At 43.1% G+C, this 19,474-nt stretch overlaps 1 long non-coding RNA gene across 2 annotated transcripts in view, besides 1 other annotated feature; it reads right to left on the bottom strand.

Moving 5' to 3' along the window:
* Positions 1 to 19,474, bottom strand: part of SLC7A14-AS1 (SLC7A14 antisense RNA 1) — a 287,921-nt gene that overhangs the window by 76,461 nt on the left and 191,986 nt on the right. Inside the window, exon 3 of one of the 2 annotated variants that reach the window (NR_135555.1) lies at positions 16,622 to 19,342. The exons of the other annotated variant lie outside the window; for it this stretch is intronic. This is a non-coding gene — a long non-coding RNA (SLC7A14 antisense RNA 1). Of the gene's footprint in view, positions 1 to 16,621; positions 19,343 to 19,474 lie in introns of those variants that run through there. 2 annotated transcript variants of the gene reach the window in all.
* Positions 367 to 868: an enhancer, noted in NCBI's record as "NANOG hESC enhancer chr3:170395666-170396167 (GRCh37/hg19 assembly coordinates)". NCBI's record gives its function as "activates a minimal SCP1, AML or CMV promoter by ChIP-STARR-seq in primed H9 embryonic stem cells {active_cell/tissue: H9 hESC(primed)}" and the evidence as "EXISTENCE:reporter gene assay evidence [ECO:0000049][PMID:30033119]".

Genomic DNA, 19,474 nt, shown 5'->3' with positions numbered 1-19,474 from the left:
ATAATGGTGATGTCCTGGATGTGATACATTGCTGTCTTACCAACTGCTCACACCTAGTGAAAAAACAGTAGTGAAAGCCATCTTTGTCCCCAGGTATCTTCATTATTGACTTTAATTCAGGGCTTTCCTCGCTTAGAATTGCCATGGCATTGGAAGGGTCAGGAGAAGGGACTAAGCTCTAGAATTTTGAGAATTTTCTAAAGAGAACTTGAATATGGGGGCAGACTAGTCTTCTAGCCAAGAAACTTGGGTTTCAGCCCTTGTTCTGCTGCTGTGTGACCCTGGGCAAGTCATTGTTGCCAGTTAAATATCCATTTGCTCCTCGATACAATGCAGACTCTGATGAGAATATCCCTAATGTCCCTTCTGGCCCTTGTTGTCGAGTTTCCCTGATCCTGATCTGAGTGGACTTAGTGGACATAGAGAAAGCTACTCTCAGTAAGAACTTGGTGGATTGACACATGGCTGATTTAAATAATAACTGTCAGGGCTCTGAGCCCAAGCTAAGCCATCATATCCTCTGTGACCTGCACGTATACATCCAGATGGCCGGTTCCTGCCTTAACTGATGACATTCCACCACAAAAGAAGTGAAAATGGCCTGTTCCTGCGTTAACTGATGACATTGTCTTGTGAAATTCCTTCTCCTGGCTCATCCTGGCTCAAAAGCTCCCCTACTGAACACCTTGTGACCCCCCACTCCTGCCCACCAGAGAACAACTCCCTTTGACTGTAATTTTCCTTTACCTACCCAAATCTTATAAAACGGCCCCACCCCTGTCTCCTTTCACTGACTCTCTTTTTGGACTCAGCCCGCCTGCACCCAGGTGAAATAAACAGCCATGTTGCTCACACAAAGCCTGTTTGGTGGTCTCTTCACACGGACACGCATGAAATTTGGTGCTGTGACTCAGATCAGGGGACCTCCTTTGGGAGATCAATCCTCTGTCCTCTTGCTCTTTGCTCTGTGTAAAAGATCCACCTACGACCTCAGGTCCTCAGACCCACCAGCCCAAGGAACATCTCACCAATTTTAAATCGGGTAAGCGGCCTCTTCTTACTCTCTTCTCCAACCTCTCTCACTAACCGTCAGCCACTTTCTCCTTTCCACTCTTCTGTCTCTCCCTTCTCTTAATTTCAATTCCTTTCATTTTCTGGTAGAGACAAAGGAGACACATTTTATCTGCGAACCCAAAACTCCGGCGCCGGTCATGGGCTGGGAAGGCAGCCTTCCCTTGGTGTTTAATCATTGCAGGGATGCCTCTCTGATTATTCACCCATGTTTCAGAGGTGTCAGACCATGCAGGGATGCCTGCCTTGGTCCTTCACCCTTAGCGGCAAGTCCCATTTTTTGGGGGGAGAGGCAAGTACCCCAACCCCTTCTCTCCATGTCTCTACCCCTTCTCCACCTTTCTGGGGGGCAAGAAACCCCCAACCCCTTCTCCTTCACCCTTAGTGGCAAGTCCTGCTTTTCTGGGGGAGGGGCAAGTACCCCAACCTCGTATCTCTGCACCCCATCCCTTATTTCCATGCCCTGACCTCTTATATGTCTGCACCCTGATCCCTTATTTCCATGCCCCAACCTCTTATATCTCTGTGCCCTGATCCCTTATTTCCATGCCCCGACCTCATATCTCTGTGCCCCAACCCCTTTCCCGCTTTTCTGGAGGGTAAGAACCCCCGAACCCCTTCCCTCCGTGTCTCTACTCTTACTTTTCTTTAAACTTGCCTCCTTCACTATAGGCAACCTTCCATCCTCCATTCCTCCTTCTTCTCCCTTAGCCTGTGTTCTTAAGAACATAAAACCTCTTCAACTCTCACCGGACCTAAAACCTAAATGCCTTATTTTCTTCTACAATGCCACATGACCCCAATACAAACTCAACAGTGGTTCTAAATGGCCAGAAAATGGCACTTTCGATTTCTCCATCCTACAAGATCTAAATAATTTTTGTCAAAAAATAGGCAAATGGTCTGAGGTGCCTGATGCCCAGGAACTCTTTTACACATAGTCCCTCTCTAGTCTCTGTTCCCAATGCAACTAGTCCCAAATCTTCCTTCTTTCCCTCCCTCCTGTCCCCTCAGTCCAAACCCCAAGTGTCGCTGAGTCTTTGTAATCTTCCTTTTCTACAGACCCATCTGACCTCTCCCCTCCTCCCCAGGCCAAGCTAGGTCCCAATTCTTCCTCAGCCTCTGCTCCTCCACCCTATAATCTTTTTATCACCTCCCCTCCTCACACCTGGTCTGGCTTACAGTTTCATTCCATGACTAGCCCTCCCCCACCTGCCCAGCAATTTACTCTTAAAAAGGTGGCTGGAGCTAAAGGCATAGTCAAGGTTAATGCTCCTTTTTCTTTATCCCAAATTAGTTAGATTTAGGCTCTTTTTCATCAAATATAAAAATCCAGCCCAGTTCATGGCTCATTTGGCAGCCACCCTGAAACGCTTTACAGCCCTAGACCCTAAAAAGTCAAAAGGCTGTCTTATTCTCAATATACATTTTATTACCCAATCTGCTCCTGACATTAAATAAAACTCCAAAAATTAAATTCCAGCCCTGAAACCCCACAACAGGATTTAATTAACCTCACCTTCAAGGTGTACAATAATAGAGGCAGCCAAGTAGCAACATATTTCTGAGTTGCAATTCCTTGCCTCCACTGTGAGACAAACCCCAGCCACATCTCCAGCACACAAGAACTTCCAAACGCCTAAACCACAGTGGCCAGGTGTTCCTCCAGAACCACCTTCCCCAGGAGCTTGCTATAAGTGCCAGAAATCTGGACACCAGGCCAAGGAATGCCCACAGCCCAGGATTCCTCCTAAGCCATGTCCCATCTGTGCGGGACCCCACTGGAAATCAGACTGTTCAACTCACATGGCAGCCACTCCCAGAGCCCCTGGAACTCTGGCCCAAGGCTCTCTGACTGACTCCTTCCCAGATCTTCTTGGCTTAGCAGCTGAAGACTGACAGTGCCCGATCGCCTCAGAAGCCTACAGAACCATCACGGACAATCTAGGTAACTCTCACAGTGGAAGGTAAGTCCGTCCCCTTCTCAATCAATATGGAGGCTACCCACTCCACATTACCTTCTTTTCAAGGGCCTGTTTCCCTTGCCTCCATAACTGCTGTAGGTATTGATGGCCAGGCTTCTAAACCTCTTAAAACTCCCCAACTCTGGTGCCAACTTAGACAACACTCTTTTAAGCACTCCTTTTAAGTTATCCCCACCTGCCCAGTTCCGTTATTAGGCCGAGACACTTTAACTAAATTATCTGCTTCCCTGACTATTCCTGGACTACAGCTACATCTCATTGCCGCCCTTCTTCCCAATCCAAAGCCACATTTGTGTCCTCCTCTTGTATCCCCCCAACTTAACCCACAAGTATAAGATACCTCTACTCCCTCCTTGGCAACCGATCATCCACCCCTTACCGTCTCATTAAAACCTAATCACCCTTACCCCGCTCAATACCAATATCCTATCCCATACCATGCTTTGAAAGGATAAAGGCCTGTTATCACTCACCTGCTACAGCATGGCCTTTTAAAGCCTATAAACTCTCCTTACAATTCCCCCATTTTACCTGTCCTAAAACCAGACAAGCCTTACAAGTTAGTTTAGGATCTATGCCTTATCAACCAAATTGTTTTGCTTATCCACCCTGTAGTGCCCAACCCGTACACTCTTTTGTCCTCAATACCTTCCTCCACAACTCACTATTCCGTTCTTGATCTTAAAGATGGTTTTTTCACTATTCCCCTGAACCTCTCGTCCCAGCCTCTCTTTGCTTTCATCTGGACTGACCCTGACACCCATCAGCCCCAGCAGCTTACCTGGGCTGTGCTGCCACAAGGTTTCAGGGACAGTCCTTATTACTTCAGCCAAGCTCTTTCTCATGATTTATTTTCTTTCCACCCCTCTGCTTCTCACCTTATTCAGTATATTGATGACCTTCTTTGTAGCCCCTCCTTTGAATCTTCTCAACAAGACACACTTCTGCTCCTTCAGCATTTATTCTCCAAAGGATATCGGGTATCCCCCTCCAAAGCTCAAATTTCTTCTGCATCCGTTACCTCGGCATAATTCTTCACAAAAACACACGTGCTCTCCCTGCCGATCATGTCTGACTGATCTCTCAAACCCCAACCCCTTCTACAAAACAACTACTCCTTTCCTTCCTGGGCGTGATTGGATACTTCCGCCTTTGGATACCTGGTTTTGCCATCCTAACAAAACCATTATATAAACTCACAAAAGGAAACCTAGCTGACCCCATAGATCCTAAATCCTTTCCCCACTCCTCTTTCCGTTCCTTGAAGACAGCTTTAGAGACTGCCCCCACTCTAGCTCTCCCTGACTCATCCCAACCCTTTTCATTACACACAGCCAAAGTGCAGGGCTGTGCAGTCAGAATTCTTACACAAGGACTGGGATCGTGTCCTGTAGGCTTTTTGTCCAAACAACTTGACCTTACTGTTTTAGGCTGGCCATCATGTCTCTGTGCAGCGGCTGATGCCACCCTAATAATTTTAGAGGCCCTTAAAATCACAAACTATGCTCAACTCACTCTCTACAGCTCTCATAATTTCCAAAATCTATTTTCTTCCTCACACCTGACGCACATACTTTCTGCTCCCTGGCTCCTTCAGCTATACTCACTCTTTGTTGAGTCTCCCACAATTACCATTGTTCCTGGCCCAGACTTCAATCCAGCCTCCCACATTATTCCGGATACCACACCTGACCCTCATAACTGCAACTCTCTGATCCACCTGACGTTCACCACATTTCCCCACATTTCTTTCTTCCCTGTTTCTCACCCTGATCACAGTTGGTTTATTGATGGCAGTTCCACCAGGCCTAATCACCACACAACAGCAAAGGCAGGCTATGCTATAGTACAAGCCACTAGCCCACCTCTTAAAACCTCTCATTTCCTTTCCATTGTGGAAATCTATCCTCAAGGAAATAACTTCTCAATGTTCCATCTGCTATTCTACTACTTCTCAGGGATTATTCAGGCCCCCTCCCTTCCCTACACATCAAGCTTGAGGATTTGCCCCCACCCAGGACTGGCAAATTAGCTTTACTCAACATGCCCCGAGTCAGATAACTAAAATACCTCTTAGTCTAGGTAGACAATTTCACTGGATAAGTAGAGGCCTTTCCTGCAGGTCTGAGAAGGCCACCACAGTCATTTCTTCCCTTCTGTCAGACATCCTCAGTTTAGCCTTCCCACCTCTATACAGTCTGATAACGGACCAGCCTTTATTAGTCAAATCAGCCAAGCATTTTTTCAGGCTCTCAGTATTCAGTGAAACCTTTATATCCCTTATGGTCCTCCGTCTTCAAGAAAAGTAGAATGGACTAAAGGTCTTTTAAAAACACACCTCACCAAGCTCAGCCGCCAACTTAAAAAGGACTGGACAATACTTTTACCACTTTCCCTTCTCAGAATTCAGGCCTGTCCTCAGAATGCTACAAGGTACAGCCCATTTAAGCTCCTGTATAGACACTCCTTTTTATTAGGTACCAGTCTCATTCCAGACACCAGACCAACTTAAACTGTGACCCAAAAAACTTGTCATCCCTATTATTTTCTGTGTAGTCATACTCTTATTCACCTGTTCTCAACTACTCGTACATGCCCTGCTCTTGTTTACACTGCCAGTTTACACTGTTTCTCCAAGCCATCACAGCTGATATCTCCTGGTGCTATCCCCAAACCACCACTCTTAACTCTTAAAGTAAATAAACAATCTTTACTGGCAAGGCTATGCTGAGTCTCCTTAGGCACTCTCTAATTACATGTCCTAGGTCCTCCCAATTCTTGGTCCTTTAATACCTGTTTTTCTCCTTCTCTTATTCCATTTAGTTTTTCAATTCAAACAAAACTGTATCCAGGCCATCACCAATAATTCTAAATGACAAATGTTTCTTCTAACAACCCCACGACATCACCACTTACCACAAAATCTTCCTTCAGCTTAATCTCTCCCACTCTAGGTTCCCACGCCGCCCCTAATCCTGCTCAAAGCAGCCCTGAGAAACATCGCCCATTATCTCTCCATACCACCCCAAAAAAATTTTCACCATCCCAACCCTTTACCACTATTTCATTTTATTTTTCTTATTAATATAAGAAGACAGGAATGTCAGGCCTCTGAGCCCAAGCTAAGCCATCATATCCCCTGTGACCTGCAGGTACACACCCAGATGGCTGGTTCCTGCCTTAACTGATGACATTCCACCACAAAAGAAGTGAAAATGGCCTGTTTCTGCCTTAACTGATGACATTGTCTTGTGAAATTCCTTCTCCTGGCTCATCCTGGCTCAAAATCTCCCCCACTGAGTACCTTGTGACCCCCACTCCTGCCCGCCAGAGAACAACTCCCTTTGACTGTAATTTTCCTTTACCTACCCAAATCTTATAAAATGGCCCCACCTCTATCTCCCTTCTCTGACTCTCTTTTCGAACTCAGCCCGCCTGCACCCAGGTGAAATAAACAGCCATGTTGCTCACACAAAGCCTGTTTGGTGGTCTCTTCACACAGACGTGCATGAAAATACTGCAGGACAGGAAGATAAGGGGAGAGGGGCATCCACCAAAGGTGTGATATTTTTATTCATCAATGAATGATGCACAGATTTTGTCAAAGTAAGTTTTTGTCCTGAAATGCTTGAATCAGCATGAGGCCATGCAGCATAGGACCATGAGAAATGAACCACTGGGTTTTTCCTTTTCCTCTCCCCTGAGCCCAGCTGGCAATGCCAAGTGATAGGTGCTCTGATGGGAAAGGACAAGAGGCCACAGGAACATGGATGGCAGGATCTAAACCAGGGTCTAGAGGAGTCCAGGAAATCTTCCAGGACTAAATTACCTGAAATTTTATGTAGAGGCCTGAAATCTGAGTAAGAGTTAGTCAGGCAAACAGAAAAAGGAAACACATTCTAATCAATGAGAACAGGGAAGGTAAGGGCCAGAGTTGTAAGAGAGTCACCACATTAGAAAAACTGATTGAAATTCAGTATGGCTGGAGCACGGAGTGCAAGAAACTGAGGCAAGATGAGAGAGAATGTGTCTGGAGATAAGCAGATACCAGATCATGAAAACATGTCAAGCCATGACTCTATGCCCAATTCCTTAGTCCATTCATTTATTCACGTATCTATGCACCCCATGCATCTAGTCATCCACCCATCCATCTATCATTTGTCACCCATCCAACAAAAAATACAGTGGTTCTCAACCTTGGCTGTTTATTAGGGTTACATGAAGAACCTCAATACCTCAACCCCAGGCTGTATCCCAGACCAGTTAAAAGGAACCTCTAGGGGTGAAACCCAGGCATCAGTATTTTTCAAATCTCCCCAAGAGATTCTAATGTGTAGCCAATAATGTGTTACCTTATACACTTTCAGGTTAGCCTTGGTCTTGCAAGTAACTGCTCTACTTTCCCCTTACTGCTCTGAGTCTTGGTTTCTCAATCCCAGGCCCATGAGTTTTATAGAACTGGCCATTCAATCTAGGCCACTAGTGGTTTATAGGACACCATTGTGAAAATTAGAACAGGCACTCCTTCCTCAAGGCACATTGCTTCATTCTGTTTGAAATCGTCTTCATATTGTATATTGATTATACTGAACAAATCTGCCCATCTGTCATAAAACTGTTGTATTCAACATACAAATCAATAATGTCTGCAGTACAAATAGAGACTCCTTGCAGTTGCAGCCTGGTACAGTGCACAACCTGTACAACCATAGATGATAAGCCTCTTTTAGTCAAGGGAAGTATGTGATTTCAACCCCGCAAGTATTTTGTTGATCCTCAGCAACTTATTCTTTGGTTCCTTTACAGTCAGGATGATCTATAAATAAGGAGAATGTATGTCTGAAGTTCAAGTGACTACTCTTGGTGCTGAGAAAGATTTTTGTTTTGTTGATTAGTGAATTTATTTAAATAAGAAGTCCTATTAAATGCATAAAAATTAAATCACAGTTTTTTTAATGAGTCATCATTATTTAAAAAAATTATGTTGCATAAAATTGGAACTGTTCCAGAAAATCTGAGAAGGATGCCTGCCAAACTCTAACTTCCAGTCTGAAATTCTACAGCCCAATCTCCAGCTCCCATGATGGGACATTTCTGCCCCAGTCTGCTCTCTTTGCCTAGTGGGTCCCTTGCAGTTTAGAGGCACTGGTGACTGTGATGGTTCTAATTGGGACAGGAGAGGTGCACAGAGCACTGTCCCTGTGGTGCTGTCCCTCCAACACTTCTCATGCAGAGATGGCTGCTAGAGAGGGAATGACTGTGTGGTCTGGTCTCTCTCTCACTAACCCTTTAGGCACTGCCATGTACTATTTCCCGTTACTGCTGTGCACCTGAGCTCACTGATGGCTGAGGAGGGACAAAACTGACAAGAGTGATGATGGTCCCCAAATGCACATGGAGCATTTGCCGCACAGATGATCAAGAGGTAGGGAGATGCACCTTCAGAGGAAGAAGAGCTGTGCTGAGCTGGAAAACACCGCTTGTAAACTTGAGCAGGGCATCTTCATCCCAACTGTGAAGGACAGAAGAAGGACTATCAAAAAACAGTAGCGAAAGCCATCTTTGTCCCCAGGGAACTATCATTCAAGGTGGGGAAACATGAGGATGTGGCCAAGCCCCCATCCTTCATAGAATTATCTGCCCAAATAATCTAAGGGCACAGTGATATAAGTCATGTTCTGAAAGATAAGATTCTAGTTCCAGTCCAGATGTTAATCAGCTGTTTAATTGTGGGCAAGTCCTCTCATCACCTGGTACCTCTGAGTCCACATTGTGGAATGAGGGTGAACTAAATGACCTGCAAGCTCCCTTGCAGATCCAGAGGCAGCATGGCATAGAGAGTAGAGACTCTGGAGCCAGAAAAAAACACCTGGATGTACATCACGACTCTGCCTCCAGATAGCTGTGTGACCTTGAGCAAGTGACTCCTCCTCTCTGTGCTCAAGTAAAATAGGGGACTTAATTGTTACCTACTTCATAGACTTGCTGAGGGGTTTAAATAAGATCACATGTGTAAAGTGCTGAGAACAGAGCCTGGCACATTGAGCTTGGTTAGTAACTCTTCTACTAGAATGGAGACTACATGAGGGCAATAATCTATGTCTGTTTTGATCACTGATATGCTTATTACAGTGTCTGATAACAGTATCTGGCACATAGCAGGCACTCAGTAAATATTTGTTGAAAGAATGAATGAGTTAATAAACATTCTGACTCTATGCCCTCATAATTAGGGTTTGCACTTATTGTGCTTGTCTGTCCTCTCTCTCCCTCCATTGATGTTTCCCACCATCATTCTTACTATAGTGTGGAGGATCTTGAGGAAGCAAGAGAGAAGAACAGAAAATGTAAATTTCAAAAAACACCTTAGTTATTATGACAGGTTGCATTTTCCAAAAATGGTTTTAACAATATCAACCCACATGCTCTTGCAGAAGAACTTTGCCACATCCCCACCAAGACATGGAGGGAAGCTAGACATTCCCTCTACTTGAATATGACCAGGCCTTTGACTGCCTTAACTAATAGAGTATGGAGGATGTGACATTATGTGACCTTCCAAGACCAAGTCATAAAATGTGATACAGCTTCTGCCAGACTCTCTGACTTGAAATACTCAACTTAGGACACTGAGCTGCCATGTGAGAAGTCCAAGGCTGCCATGCTGTAGGGAAGCCCAAGCTTGCTGGTCCTCATCAGGTTACACTTCAGCAGGGCCCCTGTTTTTTCTCTTTGCATCCAGTAACTGTTAGGCCCTTCAACAACCATTTCACATGGCTCTTTCTTGAGAGGTTTAATATTTTCTTCCTTTTCCCATAATTTGCCAACATTTTTCTCAAGTCTCAAGATGACAATAACTCCAACATTTTCTTTTTGTCATTAATGCTTGACTCATTATAAAAGGAAAGACCTATAAATTCTACATCCACCCTGGTAAGCATAATAAAGATTTGATTCCGGGGGGAAAGGCACATTGATCATGATGAAGGAGGTACTATTTATCATAATGGCTATTCGGGGTGCATATTTGCAAATTTTTAAGAATAACAATGCCTTGGGCACTTTGAAATAATAAAGTATTCAGGAGCTATTCACATAAATCTTACCTGATAAATTCAAGGCTGGCTACTCCTCTGGAACAGAAAGGAAGTCAGAGTTTGGTGGAGCCAAGATGGCTGAATAGGAACAGCTCCAGTCTACAGCTCCTAGCGTGAGCGACGCAGAAGACGGGTGATTTCTGCATTTCCATCTGAGGTACCGGGTTCATCTCACTAGGGAGTGCCAGAGAGTGGGTGCAGGACAGTGGGTGCAACGCACCATGCATGAGCTGAAGCAGGGCGAGACATTGCCTCAATCAGGAAGTGCAAGGGGTCAGGGAGTTCCCTTTCCTAGTCAAAGAAAGGGGTGACAGATGGCACCTGGAAAATTGGGTCACTCCCACCCTAATACTGTGCTTTTCCAACGGGCTTAAAAAACAGCACACCAGGAGATTATATCCCACACATGGCTCAGAGAGTCCTATGCCCATGGAGTCTCGCTGATTGCTAGCACAGCAGTCTGAGATCAAACTGCAAAGTGGCAGCAAGGCTGGGGGAGGGGTGCCTGCCATTGCCTAGGCTTGGTTAGGTAAACAAAGCAGCTGGGAAGCTCAAACTGGGTGGAGCCCACCACAGCTCAAGGAAGCCTGCCTGCCTCTGTAGGCTCCACCTCTGGGGGCAGGGCACAGACAAACAAAAAGACAGCAGTAACCTCTGCAGACTTAAATGTTCCTGTCTGACAGCTTTGAAGAGAGTAGTGGTTCTCCCAGCACGCAGCTGGAGATCTGAGAACGGGCAGACTGCCTCCTCAAGTGGGTCCCTGACCCCCGAGCAGCCTAACTGGGAGGTACCCCCCAGTAGGGGCAGACTGACACTTCACACAGCCGGGTACTCCTCTGAGACAAAACTTCCAGAGGAACGATCAGGCAGCAGCATTTGCGGTTCACCAAAATCCGCTGTTCTACAACCACCGCTGTTCTGCAGCCACCACTGCTGATACCCAGGCAAATAGGGTCTGGAGTGGACCTCTAGCAAACTCCAACAAACCTGCAGCTGAGGGTCCTGTCTGTTACAAGGAAAACTAACAAACAGAAAGGACATCCACACCAAAAACCCATCTGTACGTCGCCATCATCAAAGACCAAAAGTAGATAAAACCACAAAGATGGGGAAAAAACAGAGCAGAAAAACTGGAAACTCTAAAAAGCAGAGCACCTCTCCTCCAAAGGAACGCAGTTCCTCACCAGCAATGGAACAAAGCTGGACAGAGAATGACTTTGACGAGTTGACAGAAGAAGTCTTCAGATGATCAAACTACTCCGAGCTATAGGAGGAAATTCAAACCAATGGCAAAGAAGTTGAAAACTTTGAAAAAAATTAGATGAATGTATAACTAGAATAATCAATGCAGAGAAGTCCTTAAAGGAGCTGATGGAGCTGAAAGCCAAGGCTTGAGAACTACCTGAAGAATGCAGAAGCCTCAGGAGCCGATGCGATCAACTGGAAGAAAAGGTATCAGTGATGGAAGATGAAATGAATGAAATGAAGTGAGAAGGGAAGTTTAGAGAAAAAAGAATAAAAAGAAACCAACAAAGCCTCCAAGAAATATGGGACTATGTGAAAAGACCAAATCTACGTCTGATTGGTGTATCTAAAAGTGACGGGGAGAATGGAACCAAGTTGGAAAACACTCTGCAGGATATTATCCAGGAGAACTTCCCCAATCTAGCAAGGCAGGCCAACATTCAGATTCAGGAAATACAGAGAACGCCACAAAGATACTCCTCGAGAAGAGCAACTCCAAGACACATAATTGTCAGATTCACCAAAGTTGAAATGGAAAAAATGTTAAGGGCAGCCAGAGACAAAGGTCGGGTTACCCACAAAGGGAAGCCCATCAGACTAACAGCAGATCTCTCAGCAGAAACTCTACAAGCCAGAAGAGAGTGAGGGCCAATATTCAACATTCTTAAAGAAAAGACTTTTCAACCCAGAATTTCATATCCGGCCAAACTAAGTTTCATAAGTGAAGGAGAAATAAAATACTTTACAGACAAGCAAATGCTGAGAGATTTTGTCACCACCAGGCCTGCCCTAAAAGAGCTCCTGAAGGAAGCGCTAAACATGGAAAGGACAACTGGTACCAGCCACTGCAAAAACATGCCAAATTGTAAAGACCATCAAGGCTAGGAAGAAACTGCATCAACTAACGAGCAAAATAACCAGCCAACGTCATAATGACAGGATCAAATTCACACATAACAATATTAACCTTAAATGTAAATGGGCTAAACGCTCCAATTAAAAGACATAGATTGGCAAATTGGATAAAGAGTCAAGACCCATCAGTGTGCTGTATTCAGGAAACCCATCTCATGTGCAGAGACACACATAGGCTCAAAATAAAGGGATGGAGGAAGATCTACCAAGCAAATGGAAAACATAAAAAGGCAGGGGTTGCAATCCTAGTCTCTGATAAAACAGACTTTAAACCAACAAAGATCGAAAGAGACAAAGAAGGCCATTACATAATGATAAAGGGACCAATTCAACAAGAAGAGCTAACTATCCTAAATATATATGCACCCAATACAGGAGCACCCAGATTCATAAAGCAAGTCCTGAGTGACCTACAAAGAGACTTAGACTCCCACACAATAATAATGGGAGGCTTTAACACCCCACTGTCAACACTAGACAGATCCACAAGACAGAAAGTTAACAAGGATGCCCAGGAATTGAACTCAGCTCTGCACCAAGCAGACCTAATACACATCTACAGAACTCTCCACCCCAAATCAACAGAATATACATTTTTTTCAGCACCACACCACACCTATTCCAAAATTGACCACATACTGGGAAGTAAAGCTCTCCTCAGCAAATGTAAAAGAACAGAAATTATAACAAACTGTCTCTCAGACCACAGTGCAATCAAACTAGAACTCAGGATTAAGAAACTCACTCAAAACTGCTCAACTACATGGAAACTGAACAACCTGCTCCTGAATGACTACTGGGTACATAACAAAATGAAGGCAGGAATAAAGATGTTCTTTGAAACCAATGAGAACAAAGACACAACATACCAGAATCTCTGGGACACATTCAAAGCAGTGTGCAGAGGGAAATTTATAGCACTAAATGCCCACAAGAGAAAGCAGGAAAGATCCAAAATTGACACCCTAACATCACAATTAAAAGAACTAGAAAAGCAAGAGCAAACACATTCAAAAGCTAGCAGAAAGCAAGAAATAACTAAAATCAGAGTAGAACTGAAGGAAATAGAGACACAAAAAACCCTTCAAAAAATTAATGAATCCAGGAGCTGGTTTTTTGAAAAGATCAAGAAAATTGATAGACACTAGCAAGACCAATAAAGAAGAAAAGAGAGAAGAATCAAATAGATGCAATACAAAATGATAAAGGGGATATCACCACTGATCCCACAGAAATACAAACTACCATCAGAGAATACTACAAATACCTCTACGCAAATATACTAGAAAATCTAGAAGAAATGGATAAATTCCTCAACACATACAACCTCCCAAGACTAAACCAGGAAGAAGTTGAATCTCTGAATAGACCAATAACAGGCTCTGAAATTGTGGCAATAATCAATAGCTTACCAACCAAAAAGAGTCCAGGACCAGATGGATTCACAGCCGAATTCTACCAGAGGTACAAGGAGGAGCTGGTACCATTCCTTCTGAAACTATTCCAATGAATAGAAAAAGAGGGTATCCTCCCTAACTCATTTTATGAGGCCAGCATCATCCTGATACCAAAGCCTGGCAGAGACACAACCAAAAAAGAGAATTTTAGACCAATATCCTTGATGAACATTGATGCAAAAATCCTCAATAAAATACTGGCAAACCAAATCCAGCAGCACATCAAAAAGCTTAACCACCATAATCAAGTGGGCTTCATCCCTGGGATGCAAGGCTGGTTCAACATACGCAAATCAATAAATGTAATCCAGCATATAAACAGAACCAAAGACAAAAACCACATGATTATCTCAATAGATACAGAAAAGGCCTTTGACAAAATTCAACAACCCTTCATGCTAAAAACTCTCAATAAATTAGGTATTGATGGGACGTATCTCAAAATAATAAGAGCTATCTATGACAAACCCACAGCCAATATCATACTGAATGGGCAAAAACTGGAAACATTCCCTTTGAAAACTGGCACAAGACAAGGATGCCCTCTCTCACCACTCCTATTCAACATAGTGTTGGAAGTTCTGGCCAGGGCAATTAGGCAGGGGAAGGAAATAAAGGGTATTGAATTAGGAAAAGAGGAAGTCAAATTGTCCCTGTTTGCAGATGACATGATTGTGTATCTAGAAAACCCCATTGTCTCAGCCCAAAATCTCCTTAAGCTGATAAGCAACTTCAGCAGAGTTTCAGGATACAAAATCAATGTATAAAAATCACAAGCATTCTTATACACCAATAAGAGACAAACAGAGAGCCAAATCATGAGTGAACTCCCATTCACAATTCCTTCAAAGAGAATAAAATACCTAGGAATCCAACTTACAAGGGACATGAAGGACCTCTTCAAGGAGAACTACAAACCACTGCTCAATGAAATAAAAGAGGATACAAACAAATTGAAGAACATTCCATGCTCATGGGTAGAAAGAATTAATATCGTGAAAATGGCCATACTGCCCAAGGTAATTTATAGATTCAATGCCATCCCCATCAAGCTACCAATGACTTTCTCCACAGAATTGGAAAAAACTACTTTAAAGTTCATATGGCACCAAAAAAGAGCCCGCATCGCCAAGTCAATCCTAAGCCAAAAGAACAAAGCCAGAGGCATCACGCTACCTGACTTCAAACTATACTACAAGGCTACAGTAACCAAAACAGCATGGTACTGGTACCAAAACAGAGGTACAGATCAATGGAACAGAACAGAGCCCTCAGAAATAACGCCACATATCTACAACTATCTGATCTTTGACAAACCTGACAAAAACAAGAAATGGGGAAATGATTCCCTATTTAATAAATGGTGCTGGGAAAACTGGCTAGTCATATGTAGAAAGCTGAAACTGGATCCCTCCCTTACACCTTATACAAAAATTAATTCAAGATGGATTAAAGACTTACATGTTAGACCTAAAACCATAAAAACCCTAGAAGAAAACCTAGGCAATACCATTCAGGACATAGGCATGGGCAAGGACTTCATGTCTAAAACACCAAAAGCAATGGCAACAAAAGCCAAAATTGACAAATGGGATCTAATTAAACTAAAGAGCTTCTGCACAGCAAAAGAAACTACCATCAGAGTGAACAGGCAACCTACAAAATGGGAGAAAATTTTCGCAACCTACTCATCTGACAAAGGGCTAATATCCAGAATCTACAATGAACTCAAACAACCCCATCAAAAAGTGGGCGAAGGACATGAACAGACACTTCTCAAAAGAAGACATTTATGCAGCCAAAAAACACATGAAAAAATGCTCAGCATCACTGGCCATCAGAGAAACACAAATCAAAACCACAATGAGATACCATCTCACACCAGTTAGAATGGCGATCATTAAAAAGTCAGGAAACAACAGGTGCTGGAGAGGATGTGGAGAAGTAGGAACACTTTTACACTGTTGGTGGGACTGTAAACTAGTTCAACCATTGTGGAAGTCAGTGTGGTGATTCCTCAGGGATCTAGAACTAGAAATACCATTTGACCCAGCCATCCCATTACTGGGTATATACCCAAAGGACTATAAATCATGCTGCCATAAAGACGTATGCACACGTATGTTTATTGTGGCACTATTCACAATAGCAAAGACTTGGAACCAACCCAAATGTCCAACAACGATAGACTGGATTAAGAAAATGTGGCACATATACACCATGGAATACTATGCAGCCATAAAAAATGATGAGTTCATGTCCTTTGTAGGGACATGGATGAAACTGGAAACCATCATTCTCAGCAAACTATCGCAAGGACAAAAAACCAAACACCACACGTTCTCACTCATAGGTGGGAATTGAACAATGAGAACACATGGACACAGGAAGGGGAACATCACACTCTGGGGACTGTTGTGGGGTGGGGGGAGGGGGGAGGGATAGCATTAGGAGATATACCTAATGCTAAATGACGAGTTAATGGGTGTAGCACACCAACATGGCACATGTATACATATGTAACAAACCTGCACATTGTGCACATGTACCCTAAAACTTAAAGTATAATAATAAAATTAAAAAAAAAGAAAGAAAGAAAGTCAAAGAGAGAACAAGCTCATGTCAAACACAAAATGTCTTGGATGCCAAAAAGGAGTTCTCCAATGTTGAGAACAGAAAATAAGAAAACATAATTTCAAAGTTACCATAGGAGACAACTGAGGTCTGACTTCACAAAAGCAGCTTATAGTGTGGTGGAGAGAGCCCAGAATCTGGAGTCAGAAACCTTCATTCATATTCCAGCTCTGTCACATAGCAGCTATATAACTTAAACAATATCTCCAAGACCTAATTTCTTTTATTTATTTCAATACTTTTTGGGGTACAGGTGGTTTTTGGTTATGGGGATAAGATTTTTTAGTGGTGATGTCTGTGTCTGAGATATTAGTGCACCTGTCACCCAAGCAGTGTACACTATACCCAATATGTAGTCTTTTATCCCTCAACCCCCTCCAAGCCTCCCTTCCTGAGTCCCCAAAGTCCATTATATCACTCTTATGCCTTTGTGTCCTCATAGCTTAGCTCTCACTTATGAGTGAGAACATACAATATTTGCTTTTCCATTCCTGAGTTGCTTCACTTACAATAATGGCCTCTAGCTCCATCCAAGTTGCTGCAAGAGACATTATTTCATTTCTTTTTATAACTGAGTAGTATTCCATGGTGTATATGTAACACATTTTCTTCATCCATTCATCAGCAAGATGTAATTTCTTTATTTGTCAAATAAGATCTGCTTTTAAAAGTATGTAAAAAAAAGAATTGAGAAAAAGATATTCAAACAAAAACTTACACATAAATACTCATAGCAGCACCATTCACAATAGCCAATAGGTGGAAACAACCCAAATGTCTATCAACCAGTAAATGAATTAACAAAATGTGGTGTATCCATAAAATGGAATATTATTTCATTATAAAAAGGAATGAAGTGCCGGCTCATGCTACAACATGGGTGAACCTTGAAAACAATATGTTAAGTGAGAGAAGCCAGACATAAAATACTACATAGTGTATATCACTATTTATATAAAATGACAAGAATAGGCAAATCCATCAAGACAGAAAGCAGATTAGTGGCTGCCAGGGGCTCGGAGTAGAGGGAAGTGACTTCTTAATAGGAACCGGATTTGCTTTTGAGATGAAGCAAATGTTTTTGAACTAGATAGTGGTAATAAATGTACGACATTGTCAACGTCCTAAATGCCACTTAATTGTACAATTTAGAGTTGTTAAAATGGTGAATTTTATGTTATGTATATTTTACCACCCCAACAAAATAAAGTATTGTAAAGCATCTAGCACAACTTCCAGCACTTCACTGGAGTTCAATAAATAGGATTTCTTCTTTCTCTTTGATGACCTATTGCTAAGTTTGTCTGCTGTCCCCCAGGGTCCACAAAATTGAGATGAGCACACAGTGCATCTCATTGGCAGAGCCAAACTTGCACCCAGAACCCTGGTGGACAGGTGGTCTAGGAAATGTACCACTAAAGAAGATGTCAGCAAAGAGCTAAGAAATAATACCAAGCACAGAAAGGCACCATGTTGTCTCTGCAAGGATGACATTCCCACAGAGTTTGCTGCTAGTGCAGTTGCTTTCACTCCCTCATTGCCACATATTAATACGGTCCCATCCTTAAGACATGTGATCCTGGGCCCCATCATCAGAGATTCTTCTTCAGGAGGTCTGGAATTGGGCTTAGCATTGGAACTTTTAAAATCTCTAAAATAACTCTGCACAGCCAGAAGTGAAAGCCACAGCCTAGATAGTGGGCCAGGACAAGAATACAAGGAGAGAAATAGAGAAAAGAAATCCTATGTAAACCTGAAAAAAGCCAGGAGAACTTTCGCTTCCAACTGGGGGAGGAATGGGGAAGGAGATGGAGAACACTTTGTGGAGGAGATGGCATCTGTAGCAGAGAGAGTTGGAATACGAATTCACCGGGCAAAAGCCATTCCAGGTCAAGGAAATGGGTGGAGCCAAGCCCTGGCAGTAGAAGAGCCCAAGTCCTGTGTGAGGATCCGCAGCTTGGTGTTATGGACTGAATGTTGTGTCCTCCCAAGTATTCATATGTTGAAAAACTAACTCCTCCATTTGTGGCTGTAATAAGAGTAAGGAAGGAAGTAATTAAGACTAAATGAGGTCATAAAGGTGGGGCCCTGATTTAATGGGATTATTGTCCAAATGAGAAGAGACACCAGAGAGCTGTAATAAAGGAGAGGCCATGTGAGGACACAGTGTGGCTGCCTACAAGCGAAAAACGGAGCCCTCACAAAAAACTGGCACTTTCATCTCGGGCTTTTAGCATCCGGAACTGTGAGAAAATAAACTTCTGTTGCTTAAGCCACCCAGTCTATGTATTTTGTTATGGCAGCCCAAGGAGACTAATACACATGGCTAGAGCATAGAAGGTTCAGTAGACAATGGTTTCATCTGGAAGGTAGGCCGGGACTAGATCCTGGAAGACTTTGCATGCCAGTCCTTGGGTAGATAATATTTTAGAAGAATTGCTGTTTCCATAATGAACTTCAACTAAGAAAGGCCCAGTGTAAAGATATGCTTGTTACTTCTGGGAAAATTCTTACTTGAAAATGACCTCCTGCCCTCAAAACACGCCTGGGAAATCTGTCCTATTAAATTATTGAAATATGCAGGCTTCAGGTGATTTGTTCTGAAGTCCAGGCTGGGTCTTTGGGTGAGCAGAAGACCTGGCTTAATTAGAAGCCCTGGGTTTTCACCAGAGCTTCCTAAGGCCCCCCTTCTCAATATTCACTTTTCCAGCAGGACATAGGAGTCTCATTAAACAAATAGCTTTTTCTCCTGGAGAACAGCGATCACTGAAGAACAAAGGTGAAATCAGTAACTTTGTCAAGAAGCGAAGAGAAGGCCAGGTGGTCGGGGCTTTTCTCCATAAGTTCTGGAGAGAGGAGCCACAGTGATTGTTTATTTCTTGTTCTCCTCCACTGAAGAGTGATCATTACCAGAAATCCCTGGCACACCAATGACCTGGAACAAACAACAATGCCCTTAGTACAGTTCTCTCTTCCTCCACATCTGTCAGATGCTGTGTGGAGTATTTTACATATGATGTGTCATTTAATCTTTATAACAATTCTATGAGTTAAATTGCCTTGCTCA

This window comes from Homo sapiens, chromosome 3 (genome assembly GCF_000001405.40).
Source record: "Homo sapiens chromosome 3, GRCh38.p14 Primary Assembly".
In the NCBI taxonomy this organism is placed as follows: domain Eukaryota; kingdom Metazoa; phylum Chordata; class Mammalia; order Primates; family Hominidae; genus Homo; species Homo sapiens.
Note: the sequence above shows the minus strand (reverse complement) of the source record. Positions and strands in the feature narration are given on the sequence as shown.